This window comes from Homo sapiens, chromosome 2, assembly GCF_000001405.40.
Source record: "Homo sapiens chromosome 2, GRCh38.p14 Primary Assembly".
NCBI lineage: Eukaryota > Metazoa > Chordata > Mammalia > Primates > Hominidae > Homo > Homo sapiens.
This window is the reverse complement of record NC_000002.12, coordinates 200,972,467-200,988,537: the sequence shown is the minus strand read 5'-3', so window position 1 is coordinate 200,988,537 and position 16,071 is coordinate 200,972,467. Positions and strand designations below refer to the sequence as shown.

At 35.8% G+C, this 16,071-nt stretch overlaps 1 protein-coding gene and 1 long non-coding RNA gene across 22 annotated transcripts in view; one reads left to right on the top strand and one right to left on the bottom strand.

The window, feature by feature from the left end:
• Window positions 1–14,820, top strand: part of HYCC2 (hyccin PI4KA lipid kinase complex subunit 2) — a 97,954-nt gene extending 83,134 nt beyond the window's left edge. For 10 of the 20 annotated variants that reach the window (NM_001321624.1, NM_001321623.1, NM_001321627.1 and 7 more), the window contains 3 exons: window positions 117–276; window positions 1,006–1,173; window positions 6,667–14,820. In NM_001321624.1, coding sequence (NP_001308553.1) covers window positions 117–276; window positions 1,006–1,173; window positions 6,667–7,268 — 930 coding nt within the window. In that variant the 3' untranslated portion in view covers window positions 7,269–14,820. Of the gene's footprint in view, window positions 1–116; window positions 277–1,005; window positions 2,508–6,666 lie in introns of those variants that run through there. The other 10 variants (NM_001321618.1, NM_173822.5, NM_001321629.1 and 7 more) reach the window with 2 other exon arrangements.
• LOC105373835 (uncharacterized) overlaps window positions 1–16,071 on the bottom strand; it is a 55,639-nt gene that overhangs the window by 30,533 nt on the left and 9,035 nt on the right. The window lies entirely within an intron of this gene.

The window sequence follows — 16,071 nt, the reverse complement described above, 5'->3', positions numbered from 1 at the left end:
TATTACACATTATAATGCAAATTTTAAATACATATTCGAAAATTATGGACACATGTAGTATAAACAAAAACTGCATATTGATTGTAAACTTGTATAGACTTATATTATCATTGTAGGTTGCCAATGCCATGAAAAACTCATTACCATTTGATGCTCCTGATTCTACACAAGAAGGCCAGAAAGTCCTTAAAGTTGAAGTCACTCCAACAGTGCCGAGGATTTCTCGGACTGCAATTACAACAGCTTCAATCCGTCGTCATAGATGGAGAAGAGAAGGTGAGTACAAAATCCCCATAGTCCACACATGGAGTCAAGTAAATTTATCACTGTTTTTACAGACTGTCTTAGCACGTGATATTAAAAGACCCTGTATAATTAAAGTAATTTTTTTTGTTAAAAATATCACTAGAAATGTGACTAAATGTCTAAAGTTATTTTAATATGTATTTATAAAATAGATGTTTAGATTGCTGTATAAAGATTAAAACAAAATAAGATGAGGTTAAATTTTGTCTTTTTTTGAACTAAATAAGAACAATAGGAAAGAAGTTGCTTTAACCTTGTTACCATACTGGAAAAAAAAAGGTGCACATATGAGCACTGTGGGAAAAACTATATAACTGGCCAAACTAACAGTATAATGCAAGCTATTCATAAAATGATTTATTCTTGATTTTGGATTTTTATCTTTGCCTTTCCTTTTTTTGTAAGTGCTGAATCCAGCAGTATTTCATACACATGGTACTTGAATAGTCAAGCTGTCTTGCCTAAGAGATATTGCCATTTTAATGATCCTGATTTTTCTGTCTTAATTCATTTGCAAACCTCACATTGTTCATCTGCTGCCTTATGTGTGTGCACAGCATGCACACACATGTAACTATATAAATAGTGTTTGTGTTTATATCATATCCATATATACATTCTCTTATCTGCCTGGGTCAAAATGCTCAGAAAATAATAGAGCAGCATAAAAGCACTAAAATGTTATATGTTGAATCCCAGATGGCTTTGACTTCTCAAACGAGGCTGACTCGAGTATTCCTGGCTCCCCGATCCAACACGGCTCCACTGACCTAGGGATCAAACGTGTGCAAGAGGGGGAGGTGCTGGTGCGCAGGACCCCTGAGCATGGCTCGCCGGAGCCCAACTCAGCAACAGCCACAACAGAGGGTAGGACAGAGATGAGGAGGCAGAAGTCAGTGAGGCAGTTGCTGGAGAAGGATCCTGGCTCTCTATCCCCAAGCAGAGCATCTTTCCATTCTAATGTGTGTTTCTAGTACCCCAGGGTGTATTAGCTTCTCTTTGCAAAGCACCCTCCCTCCTCATATACATAGCACCAGGTCAGGTGCAATCTTTAGTTACTATTTGTGCTGGCCTGGAGTCTGCATCCCTGTGTAATCAAGGAACAGCTTGGCATGGCTACTAACAAGGCAGGGTCCTGTCTCCAAAAGGTCTGCAAATGCTTGGAATTTTTTTATTACTGAGCATGTTTATTCTAACATTAGGAAAGAAAAATGCACCCAGTGGACATGAGCCTTATTCATCAATATGAATGATTTTATTTATACAATAATTTATTCTTTAAAATTTTGTGAAGAGAGTTTTAAAACATTAGCATATTATCATTAAGACATTGAAGTGGAGCCAGCTGATTTATCTGTAATTCTATGGTGTTCAATGGACAATTTCTCAGCTCTTTGACAAAGTATGCTGATATTCATTGGCTTTATCATCTGTAGATTAAGTTGCTTAGGCCTAACTAGTAAACTACTGATACCTTCTAGAAATGTGCTATCCTGATGCACAGTACATTTTACAATTTATTGTAAATAATGGTTGTATTCAATTCAATGGAATTAAAATGTATTATTCTATTTAGAGGTCAGATATCCTAGTAGAGCCTTATTTCTACAATGTAGGTATCGCAACATGGAGGGGTTTTTTAATACCCTTCCCCCCCGAACCCCCATCTGTAAAAGAATGCTTCTCTTTGTTGGAAAAGTATTTACTTACTGTTTTGCATGTAATGCCGTAGGAATTTTTAGCTTTGTAAAAGAGGGAACTGTAGCCAGTTTTTTTAAAAATTATTTAATGTATTGCTACTGTGGAACCTTTATACTTATTTATGAAATCAAGCAAGTAGCTTTAAAAGAGGTTATATATTTTTACTTAAAGACCAAACATACATAAAGCAGTTAATTTCCACCATAGGGAACTCTTGCTCTTTGGTGCATTAGAAATTTGAGCATGCTCAGTAAGAATCTAAATCTACCCTCTGTTCCCTTGCCCATTTACCCAGATTGACCTTAATTCATTTAACAGTGTTGCATGTGCATGACCTAGGGACCCAAAAAAGTTGGTGCTGTTTGAGAGATCCTTTAAATGGCTCTGAAAGATGGCAGCGTTCCCTTTTTCCCCTGTATCTTATTACATTATCCCTAGGAGTAAGTTTTATCTTGTATAAACACATAACAATAAAAAGATGAATAGATGTGGAACCCAGAGTTGGCCTAAACTGAACATTCCTGAATGACTGAGCCACTTATCTACTACTATTGCTAGAATATTGGAAGTATTTATGCTAAATATAGTACTATGTTAATCAACAGTTGCTGAAATTCCAGAAAGTGTGGGATTAGATTGAAGCATTCCTTCCAGTACATCGAGTCATACACTTTGAAACAAATGAAACAAAATAGTAGTTCCTTTTTAATATCCTATAAAATATTAAAATATCCTATTTTAATATCTATCACTGGTAAAATTTCAATTTGGGGGAGGGAGGGAGAGGGTGTAGCCACAAGGAAAGAGGAATGTTTCCTTATTTTACCTTTTAATCCAGATTATTTGTAGTTTTATTTATTTATTTTTTTGAGGCAGGATCTCACTCACGTCGCCCAGGCAAGAGTGCAGTGGCACAATCAAGGCTCACTGTAGCCTCAACTTCCTGGTCTTAAGTGATCCTCCCACCTCAGCCTCTGGAATAGCTAGGACTACAGGCACGCCACCACAGCCGGCTAGTTTTTTTGTATTTTTAGTAGAGATGGGGTTTTGCCATGTTGTCTAGGCTGGTCTCAAACTCCTGGGCTCAAGCAATCTGCCCACCTCAGCCTCCCAGGGTGCTGGGATTACAGGCATGAGCCACCGCCCCTGGCCTATTTGTAGTTTTAAATCAGTATTAACAGAAGCCAAATGTGTAAGTAAAGTCAGCCATGAATAGAAAAGTTCATTAAAAATCCATTTCATAGCTTCTTGGCGTTCAGTGTAAATACAAAAAGGAATAAAAAAAAATAAAAAAATTCCATTTCAGATGTCTCCTCTTTGGACCATGAATGGTATTGTTATCACCTTTGGAGAAAATTACAAAGGAAAAATGTTTTGAGACACAATTGCCTTTTTCTTTCTTGAGGGTTTTTTCTCGACCCCCAGATGGTCTCACTCTGTTGCCCAGGCTGGAGTGTAGTGGCACAGTCATAGCTCACTGTAACCTCAGACTCCTGGGCTCCAGCAAACCTCTGGCCTCAGCCTTCTCAGTAGCTAGGACAACAGGCATGTCACCATGCCCAGTTAATTTTTAAATTGTTTGTAGAGATGGGGTCTTGCTATGTTGCCCAGACTAGTCTTGAACTCCCAGGCTCAAGCAATCCTCCTATCTTGGCCTCCCCAGGTGTGACCCACTGCAGCCAGCCTCCTTAAGATTCATAGCTCACTGCCACCTCGAATTCCTGGACTTAGTGATCCTTCTACCATTGCCTCCTGAGTAGCTGGGACTATAGGTGGGTGCCATCACATCTGGCTAATTTTTTAACTTTTTATGGAGATAAGATCTTGCCATTTGCCCAGGCTGGTCTCAAACTCCTCAACTCAAGGGATCTGCCTGTCTTGGCTTCCCAAAATGTTGGGATTACAGGCGTAAGCCACCATACCCCACCAAGCTTTTTAAACAGAAGAAAGGAAATTACTAAAACCTATGAAAAGTCTTGGTAATTCTGAACTCTGCTCAAGCTTTTGGATTAACATAGATTATTGACTAGTTTTCTGCTATGATGGCTTTAAATAATTTTACAATTAAAATTGGGTTTATTACATGTTGAAATTGAAGGGACAATATAAGCCCATCACTTACTTTTCTCCTGATTGTCAAGTACATTCTATTTATGACTTTTAAAGCTGGAGTTAAGATTATTACTAAACTGGCCAGGCACGATGGCTCATGCCTATAATATCAGCACTTTGGGAGGCCCAGGCAGGTGGATTGCTTAAGCCCAGGAGTTTGACACCAGCCTGGGCAACATGGCAAAACCCCATCTCTACAAAATATACAAAAATTAGCCAAGCATGGTGGCAGATGCCTGTAGTCCCAGCTGCTTAAGAGGCTGAGGTGGGAGGATCACTTGAGCCTGGGAGGTTGAGGCTACAGTGGGCTGTGATCGTGCCACTGCACTCCAGCCTATACAACAGAGTGAGACCTTGTCTCAAAAAAAAATAATAAAAATAAATAAATGTTTTTAAAAATTATTACTAAACTGAAGATAATACCTGTGATTAAAGTACAATCAGTATTCCATTATATATACTAAGCATTTCTTAGTATATAAAATATCAGTAGATTCTCTTGCATGGTGGCTTTTATGTTATCATCTTTTTTATGGCCATATTGCTTGGGCATCAGATCTGCATGTAGCAAGATTCAGAAGCTAGCACTAAGTCTCTCAGTCTCCTTTCCTAATAAATATACCTAATGATACATTTCTGTTCACTCCCAGTTTTATATCACTAATATCAATTCTGACCCAATAACTATCCTTTCTTGGGCATTTTGGAGTTCTTTATACTAATTGTAAGTAAATTACTAAAATGTATCATATGAATATAATTTAAAGTTTTTATTTTGAGGTACATTATAAAAGTACATTATATACAGTTCTTTTGAAGAGGTTGAGAGAAGTGGTGTCAGCTGCTACTGTTCTTAGTAAATGCATTTTCATATGGCTTTGCATGATGATTAAAGATTATTAAACTGCTGGATATAATAAGGTGCCTTTTGCTTTAAGGATAGCTTATTTCATTCTTTAGAAGGAAGAAAATAATCCATATGAGTAAATATAGCTAAGTAAATAGTTTATTTTTCCAGGTGCTATGTTAAATAAAAGATTGTGTTTAAATATTTTGTATATATTTTGCTTAGGTAACCTATATCTCTAATATTTGTTTAGATTCTTTCCTAACATTTTTACCTTACCTGTAATGTTGATATCTGTTTTGTAGATTCAGATTAAACTTTACAGAAGTCTGGAAAATGTATTTAATAGGTAGCAAACCAATATGAGTTATTGAAAGAAGCAAATGTATTACTTTCTAAGAGAATATTCATCATACTTTCAGTAAGAGAATTGGCTTTCTGTAAACTGCAAGCTCAGTATATTATATATTCTTCTCTTCTTCCTACAAAAACCCAAGATAAGAATTCTGTTGTTGGCCGGGCGCGGTGGCTCATGCCTGTAATCCCAGCACTTTGGGAGGCTGAGGTGGGCAGATCACTTGAGGTCAGGAGTCGGAGACCAGCCTGGCCAACATGGTGAAATCCCATCTCTACTAAAAATACAAAAATTAGCTGGGCGTGGTGACACACGCCTGTAATCCCAGCTACTCGGGAGGCTGAGGCAGGAGAATTACTTGAACCTGGGAGGCAGAGGTTGCAGTGAGCTGAAGATCGTGCCACTGCACTCCAGTCTGGGTGACAGAGCAAGACTGTCTCAAAAAAAATAAATAAATAAATTATTTTGTTAACTGCAGTTTCTGCATGAAATGAAATGTGATGGGACACTATCGTATTTTGTGATTATGACAATACATCTCAATACTAAGAATCTAAAATATAGAAATAATTACATAAAATATTATCAAAACATACCATATAGAAAATATAAATCCTTAAATACCCCTGCTGGTTCCCTACCACTGCTCTCTGATATTTTCTTCACATTAATTGATCAAAATATGGAAACCAGTGAGTAGAAAAGGCCATAGACAAAATATGACTGTGAAGTTACAGAAGCAATATAGTTTTGAGTTATTTAAAAAATTTGCTAGTTCCATGTTAAAGGTTCTAAAACCATATAGAAGCAGTTAACCAACCACTGAGTAAATATAAAATTTTATTATAGTTAAAAAGAGTTTGGCCTGTAAGCATAAATGGGTTTTTGGTATAATTCTGGATAACTGGAATTAGAAGAGGGTCTCTTTTGCACATCTTATGGTGGGTTAAAGAAGGTATGAGGGGAAAAGTTTTTTTTTTTTTTTTCCAGTAGGTAGATATGGTCATTTCAGAAGAAGAATGATAGTGTATTATAAAAATTTATGTTAACAAACTGTTGTATTTTACCTAGTCGTTTTACATGCCTAAATATTGACAGTATACTAGATATGTTTGTGGATAGTTGTACAAAAACTGGACTAAATAAAGCTAAACTAACATCTATTAGCATAGTAGAATTCTGTGTAGATTAAGATTTCCCCTAAATTATTTAGGGGAAGTGTTGATAGTAGGGCCATTGACAACCTATAGCGAACATTGCCCAAGAGATAAGGTCAGTGTTGTTATTCACAGCTGCTTCTTATTTAATTTAGCTATTGCTGAGTCTGTCTGATTTGTTTTCTTAGGTGCTGAGGGTGTAAATGGAGGAGAGGAGTCTGTAAACCTGAATGATGCAGATGAAGGATTTTCATCAGGGGCTTCCCTCAGCAGTCAGCCAATTGGGACCAAACCATCCTCCTCTTCTCAGAGGGGAAGCTTAAGGAAAGTAGCAACTGGGCGTTCAGCCAAGGATAAAGAAACAGCCTCTGCCATCAAATCCAGTGAGAGCCCTCGAGATTCAGTAGTTCGCAAGCAGTATGTACAGCAACCAACTGATCTTAGTGTAGATTCAGTTGAGCTGACACCAATGAAGAAACACCTGAGCCTGCCTGCTGGCCAGGTGGTGCCAAAAATCAATAGCTTAAGTCTAATCCGGACAGCCAGTGCTTCCTCAAGTAAATCATTTGACTATGTAAATGGCAGTCAAGCAAGTACCAGCATTGGGGTTGGCACTGAGGGAGGTACTAATTTAGCAGCCAACAATGCTAATCGATACTCAACTGTCAGTCTGCAGGAAGACCGGCTAGGTCAAGCTGGCGAAGGTAAAGAGCTCCTCAGCCCAGGAGCCCCCTTGACCAAGCAGTCTCGATCCCCAAGTTTCAATATGCAGCTAATATCCCAGGTGTAGTTTTGACATCCTCCCTCATCTTTCTGCTTACCTTTTAAACTGAACATTTCATTGTGCAAGAAGACACTTCATCCCACATTGTGAAAATATTGGTCACTGTTATCAGATTTCATTTAGTTTAGGTATCTTCATACTGTATTTTGTATCAAAACAGCAATAAGGTTTTCTTTATCCCTCTTTCCTACATCTTCTCTTCACCTATCCCTTGTAAATGTGTTTGTGAAGCAGTATAAAATGGTTGCCTTTTCCATGCCTTCCTTTCTCCTTGGGTGATGTGCAATCCATCGTAGGCTGATCGGTCCCATTTCAACACTGTGAGACTGAGGGTACATTAGAGGAAATGGTGTATATGATCCCTATGAAACGATTCTTTGGCTTTTGTTTAAAAACAAAACGGGTTTGTTCTCATAATCTATAGAACTATGAAGATTACTGGATCATATTTTTTTCTCTTAACCAGGAGTGCCTCAGAGATTCTGCTATGACTTTGGACTTCTCTGAGTCTGTGCAATCATTTTCTGGAGAAGCATGGGGAAAGGTGGTAGACTGCTGCACTTTTTCATTAAAATGAGGGTAGCTCTTTCTCCACCCCCCCATCTCCTTTATCCCGAAGACATAAATGTTCAATTACGGAGGCATTTAAATCAAGTTGTGACCACCTCCATTGGAGGGCAGGACTCTTGATTGTGTAATTGATAATGCACTTTCTCAATGGCTGTATAGTCATTATTAACGTGTCTTCCCTCTTCCCCACAAGGACATATAAGGTCATTTCTGTCCTTCAAGTTTGGCCAACTAACAAATCAGAATCTGAGGGGCATGTTCTATTTCCCAGGAATGATTGACACTTTGGTGCTGGGGTTTTGTGGGGGCGGGGGGTAGTTTTTGTTTAGCTTTTGTGGAGATTGTGTGTGTGAGAGGAGATTTGATTTTTTTTTCTTCTTTTCCTTTGTGAGCTGATGGCTGAAGTGTAACAGTACATCTTCAGGTAAAGAGAGGGATTTCTCAATCTACTTTCTGTTATGTCAGACTATAAGAGAAACCCTTTCAGCTGCTTTCTAGATGTACCTAAATTCAGTCAGACATTTTGGATTAAGAAACCTAAAGTCCTGATACATTACATACTCCAAGGAAATATATCAGGGACAGACAATTGGCTGAAACACTGATACTTCAATGTGACACATTTTTATAGAACATTTCTACCAGGGGGTACTGACCTTGATTTCTCCTACAAGGACCACACTGCCTTTGTGTTTAATGTAATGCAATTTGTGTACCTTCTAATCATATATCTGCAGTTCCTCATTTTTATAAAACTTTGATATCATGCCAGTAAGCTAGATGTTGAATGTATGTAAGTAGCATTTGGTAACTGCTAAGAGGTTACAAAAACATTATTGGTAAAAAAAATTTCCTTAGTTCTGATCTGGTTGGATAAGATTTTATCATAACTTTTCTGGGTCTCAGGCTCTGATGTTTGAAAAAGAAGGGAATATATTGGGTTTTAAAAAAGTGTATTGTGACTTAAACTGTTATAAGTTATCCTTCCACAGAATACATCAGAGCTATCAGTGCTTTGTACATTTAGATGTTTTTACTTGATTATTGTTTAAGAAAAATATACTGAATTTATAGAAAGCAAGTATTCTCCTAATTAGCAAAAGTTAAAATTTTATCTCTACCATTAAAATTACAATAGATTTTGATAAATAACCAGAAAAAACGCCTTTTTTTTTTTCACACCTAGCAATCCTCCCGTTTTTATTGTAAGGACTTTCTTTTTTCCCTAAGAGACTTTCTGTTAGACTCTTTATATATGAGATGCTTGTTTAAATATGGTGGTCTGTAACATTTTTCCAGCTCATGTGAAAATGGAAAACTAGAACCTGAACTAGTATCTACAACATTGCCAAAGTCCAGGGTAAAGCTAAAAGTTGATAAGTAGACAATTTATTGTTTTGTGTGTGTCTGTGTGTGTGTGTGTGTGTGTGTGTGTGTGTGTATGGTGTGTATATGTATATATCACAAAGTTGTATTTTAAATATTTTAAATACCCTTTCTTTTAATTTAAGGGATGTCAAATAAATGAAAGGAGTTTAAAAATAGCCAAAATAAATGAGCTATAAAGGCCCATAACATACTAAAACAGGCAGTTTCAGGTATGTAAGGAAAGGAACATTATACTTACCTAGAAAGTGAGATCTAAAAAAAAATTAAAAATAAATAAAAAATAAAAAAGAAAGTGAGATCTTGGCTATGGCTGGAGGTCAGTCACTTTATGGCATAAATTATTTGGGAGGTAAAAAGACTGTTTTCAATTCAAATTGTGCATTTATTGGCATCTAAATCTAGCATGATTTTGGTTAGAGCACAAAAGAAATACCACATAATACCAAATCACAGCAAATGTTAGAATTAATACAACAAAATTTTCCTTTGGCTAGAAATCTTATGTTATACCTGAAAAATTGGTTTTAAAAAATGTTCATCTTGGCCGGGCACGGTGGCTCACGCCTGTAATCCCAACACTCTGGGAGGCTGAGGTGGGTGAATCATGAGGTCAGGAGTTCGAGACCAGCCTGGCCAACATGGTGAAACCCTGTCTCTACTAAAAATACAAAAAATTAGCTGGGCGTGGTGGCAGGCGCCTGTAATCCCAGCTACTCGGGAGGCTGAGGCAGGAGAATCTCTTGAACCTGGGAGGTGGAGGTTGCAGTGAGCCAAGAATGCACTACTGTACTCCAGCCTAGGCAACAGTGCAAGACTCCATCTCTGAAAAAAAAAAAAAAAAAAAAAAAAAAAGTTCATCTTAGAGGATTTTATTTATCTGTATGTATATACATATATGTTTGTATGTATACATACCCACATTAACATTTTATGACCCTGTAACATTTGTTTTCTATTCTTTTAGGTGATGTGAATTGACCTCAGTGAAGAAACATTTCATTTAGTCTAAGCCTTGCATTCAGGGTCTTACAACAGATTTCTTGTGCAAGAATTATTATTAGTTAAAATGGAAGGTGTTAGTTTAACAAACTGAGAGTCAAATTTTCTAAGTTTTTAAATATGCATTTTAACATGCATTATTTTTGGCATTTAATTTAAAATAGTTTTGTTTCATGTATACAACAGCTGTTACAGATATATGCCAGCAATATTCATACTTTTTTAACAAGCTTTTGTTATATATTTTCTAATCTCCATAAAAGTCTAATCATCTATGAAAAAGATATTTAGGGAGAAAATACTTGTTTTCTGTAATAAAACAATTAGGTTGGTGCCATGTATGCCAAGTTGGATAAAAGAATACAAAGAAACAGCTGAAGGTTTTGGGAGCTCGCTCTGACATTAATTACTAGAAAGCAAACTAAAATGCAAAGTGAATAGTTAACTCAGAAGATTTGAATTTTTTGAAATAGGGTCTCACTCTGTCCTCTAGGCTAGAGTGCAGTGGCACTATCACGGCTCACTGCAGCCTCAACCTCCCTGGGCTCAGGTGATCTTCCCACCTCAGCCTCTGGAGTAGCTGGAACTCCAGGCATGCACCACCACACCTGGCTAATTTTTGTATTTTTAGTAGAGACGAGGTTTTGCCATGTTGCCCAGGCTGGTCTCGAACTCCTGGGCTTAAGAGATCCACCCACCTGGCCTCCCAGAAGTGCTAGGATTACAGACATAACTACCACACCTGGCCTGAAGATTTTTAAATGTGAAAATATTTTAAGAAGCTAAGGGGAAAATCGTTATTTTAAAATCCTGATCCCCTTAACTTTACCCCTTACCATTCCCCTTACCTTTCCAATTCACTTTTGTCTATTTATTATAGAATCAGAATTGTGCTAAGAAGAAACCCTGGAGATAATCTAGCTAGTCTCCCACTCCCTCACCCCAACCTTCATCCTCAAGAAACAGAGGCTCAGAGGTTGTGGTGTGATCAAGATCATATACCTAAAGCAGAGCCAGAATCAAACCCAGTCTCCCATGGGTTTGGGGAGGCAGTGGGTTGTTAACTCCATTTTTGCAGTTTCTTTATAGTTCTGGTCTAGTAGTTGGTGAATACAACACATTAAGAAAAGTGTTAAATCCAGAAAAAATGTAGAGTAATCTAGATGGGGAAATGTTGGAAATGTTAAGTATATCTACAGATGTAAGGATCAATACATTATTCTAATTTATGCCTTACTATTTTCTGCCACATAACAGTTGTATGCTGCCATTTTATAGTTGAATACATTTGTTGGGATTTATTTAAATATAAAATAAACCCTGTGAAATGGCTTTGATCAGTGTTTTCTAGTTATTTTAAAGTAATTTTTGAGTCAGCCAGCTTTCAGTCACCAGTGTGGCAAGCTAATTATATTGCACAATAGAGTATTGCAAAGTAAAGATTAAATAAATTTGATTCCATTACTTTTTAATGTAGAAAGAGACTGAATCTTATGCTTAGAGCAAATGCAAGCAATATTTCCTTATATGATTGAAAAAGGTTCTATAGTGTGAAGCTTATGATTCCATAATGGAACAGTGACCATGATGTCATTTAAAGTGTGTATATACCATATAAAATGTCTTAAATGCGGTAGTCTCAGCTATATAAGCTCAGTATTTCCAGTCTGTATTCTCAGATTCCATCTAGTAGCTTTAAATTAATTAAAATTGTTTATTAGACACTGGAATACTGAGAATAACTTCTTTCAGATTGTTTTGTTTGCACCACTTTTGTGAATATTTTAATGAAGTGGAGTCCATTTTTGAGTACTTCAGTTGTTGACAATCAGTTGTCTCGTTTAAATCTCTGCATGTTCATTTGTAAATAAAAAATGTAGTACCTGTCTTTAGGGGTAGTCCCCTATTTATTACAAACACTGGCAAGGAATATCTGTCCATTTCTGACCTTGGATTACAAAGTATGTTTTGGGTTTTTCCTTTTTTAATCAGTATTTCAGTTACATCTTTGTTTTCAGCTTTAAAAAGTTTAACGGGTCATGCCAATGATCAGAAAATCTGTAAGAATTTTAGAGCAATTTTTCTATGTACAGCTATGTTAAACAGTCTGAACATGAGACTTTTTCTTTCAAGTTGAAGATTATTGTCATCGTTTTACCACTAAGTTGGTTGAGACACTTACTTGTAATACTTTAATTTTTTTAAAGTGTTTTTAGAAACAAGTTGTTTGAAAACCAATTAGAAATTAGAATATTTGCCAGATTATAAGCAGATGGAATGCAGTGTAAAACTGTTAACAATGCTAATAAAATTATGAGTCATCAGATTGGTACAGTTTTCCCTGCCAAGATGGTCATATTGATAATGTAAGACAAATTTTAGTATTACTTGCATTATGTGTACCTAATAGGTATATCATACTGGTACTGAGCATATATAGAAAATACTATTCATAGAGGAGTCATCACCACCCAACCTCCTTGCCTGTGTAGGCATATTTCTTCTGAACCTGACCACACAAGTACAACATTTTGGTAACTTCAGTCTTTTCAGTATTTTTGTAATCTTAGCCATAGTCCTATGAGAAATGTACATAAGAGCAAACAATTCAGGATAGAAATTAGCAGAAAGCTGGGAATGATGTGAAATAACTGGCAGCATAGTACAGAAATGTAAGGTATATGTTTTGCTTCTGGATTTTTAGAAATTGTGCTAATCATGTTTACAAATTAAGGCATATTCAGATGTCTGCTATTATGTTTAATATTGATTTGATAAAAAAATGGAATTAGGTGTAGCTTAGAGTATAAATGAGTCTTTTTAAAAATGTGTATCTGGAAGTAGGGCTAATAAAGAAATCCTTTTATTTTCAAAGAAATGAACTTAATTGGACAACTCATCCCCAATTACAGAATTGATATCAATATGGTTTGCTGTATTTGAGTATAAACAGCTCAGTGTTAATTATATCAAAGGAAGTTCTTTACATCTTCATTGATTACAAAATTTACCAAAGAAAATGTATCTACCAAATATAATTTTTAAAGTACTTGTTAAGGAATGAGGCCTCTTTAACATATAAAGTATCTTAAAAATATTCTCTGACCTGGAAAATAGGTTTACAGTAGCTACAAGATTCCATTTTAGGTTTTCTTATGTCAATAAATGTCAATATTTTACACTTCCAGCAAAAGTACCCGTTAAAGCTAAATCTAAATATTATTCCTCATAGCACAGTTTCTGGTCTCCTTAAATTAAGGATCCTACTCATCAGGATTGAATAAAAAGGGGGAAATTCCTAAAATTGGTATATTGTATAATATTGTGGGTTAAGTAAAATTTAGGGGGGCATTATGGAAATGTACCTATTTTAAAGGGCAGTGGCAATTACTATAATATTGGTTAAACTGGTAAAGTTTGTTAAATAATTTATGTCCATGATCATTCTGAGTGTTTTTTTTCTTTGCAGAAAAACAGGATTGGGTTAAGAAAAGCTAAAATACTCATTTTTTTAAAATGTATAGCCCAATAAGAACTAAATGATTTATTTCAAAAGTTAAATAATTTTTTTTGGAAATCATGGAATGTATTTGCATATTGATGTTCCAAACAGGTTTTATGTATTGTTTTTTATAGCAGGGAGTAGTTGAAAAGTAATGAGTATATTGATTAGCTGTCTTGGAAAGAGAGGATTGGCTTTCTAACAATCACTGATACAGGTTTGGGTTTGGGGGGGTTTGTTTGTTTGTTTTTAAGTTTTATCATCCATACTGAATTGAGAGATATGCTCCATGTTTAAAAATATTTGTAATAAGTTCATCTACTTGACACTGAATCTTTTTTATTCTTACTCTAAAATTATTCTGGCTTTACATTCAGTTTAAGTGGTTAAGTGAAACAGTTTTTAGGGTGCAAAAATTATTTTCCCACTGTTTTTCTCATGATAATTTGAGTCTCCTGAGCTATAATTTCTGAAGGATTTTTACTACTTTGGCATTATGTAATCTGATCTCTGTCACAATGATATTAAATAAGAACTATCTCACTTTCATATGTTTGCTTCATAAAAGGATATGGAATGTACACATCAGCTCTTTTTTTTTTTTTAAACTAGCATCAACCTATAACTTGGTATAAACTTCCCAAGTATTTAGAGAATAGTGCTGGTGAAAATTTAAATAGGATAGGCATATAGAAATTATGACTTGTATTGAGTGATGTCCTTTCAACCTAGGACTAGTGACAACCTTCATTTTTTCAGAGCTGAAGAAAAAACCGTGAATTTAAGATCATATTTATTGGTGCATGTAAGCCATTATCCTGTCTTAATGAACCGATTAATGCTGTTGATTGTTGAAATGTGAAATGTAGTCACTGTTGACCTTGTAAATATCTGCCAGAGATGAAAAAATATTTTAAGTTATTGTAAATAAAGATGTATAAAATTCAGTATCAGTCTGCAATGCAGAAACATATCTTAGATGTTAAAATACTGTGTTTGAGAGATGTGTAATTTACCCTTAGATGTATCTAGTTACATTAAGAGTGTAAATTTTTTTGTACAGTATAAAAATACAGCTCTATTTGGCTTTTAACTGGATTTCCCTGAGTTGATTTTATCTTACGTAAATTTTATATCTTAAAAGGGTCTTTTCATATTTTTTCAAAGTGTACCATTTTTATTTTATATCTGAACCTTTATATCATACCCTATTACATTAAGGCAGTATAAAAATTATATTTAACACCACAAAATAAGAAACAAGACAAAGGCAGGTGTGAAATTAATACATAAAACGTGCCATATATTTCTGTAGTTAATTGCAGGGGTACAGATTTAGCACTGAACGTTAAAGCAGCCAAATGTAAAGACAGAAGTAAGATTAATTACATAATTTTCATATTCCTTAAGATTCAACAAGTTTCTCAGGTGAAGCACAACTATTTCTAATGTTAAAATATTTTCTTTCCTGGGTCCTTGTAAAGAGGAACCAATATTATTATAATACAGTTTACAATACAACTTATGAAGGTGCCTGTTTCTTCACACCCTTACCTGCAGTTAGTTCTCTCATCATTAAACTTTTTGGCCTTTCCCACATTGTCTTTCCTAAAGATACTTTAGCCTTCGCTTGGAACATGGGTTTAATCAAGGGTTAAGCCCTAGGCCCTTTTTCCTTTCCCTTTCTTTACATGCATTTTCTGGAAAAATCTCTTTTGTGCCTTTTTTCTTTATGACTGTTATTCCTTGCTGAGTCAAAGTTTTATCCTCCATTTTATTTTAGATTCAAGCAAAGTACATTATCTTTTTGATATTTATTATTCCTTAATCCAAAGATTGGCAGATCCAGAACCAAGACTGTGTTTTTCTCTTTGATTCTGGATCTGCATTAGTAAGGAAGGATGAGATTCACAAGCTGACAGTTCCAATTTTTTCCCTTTATTAGAAATGTAATAGTTGTTCATTTACAAAATACAGAAAAAGGGCCGGGTGTGGTGGCTCACGTCTATAATCCCAGCACTTTGGGAGGCCGAGGTGGGTGGATCACCTGAGGTCAGGAGTTTGAAATCAGCCTGGCCAACATGGTAAAACCCCATCTCTACTAAAAGTACAAAAATTAGCCGGGCATAGTGACAGGCACCTGTAATCACAGCTACTAGGAAGGCTGAGGCAGGAAAATCGCTTGAACCTGGGAGGTGGAGGTTGCAGTGAGCCGAGATCGTGCCATTGCACTCCAGCTTGGGGGACAAGAGCAAAACTCCATCTCAAAACAAACAAACAAAAAACAAAAGAAAATACAGAAGTACAACAGGAAAAGTAATATTTTCCTTTAAGGTATTGTAATATAAT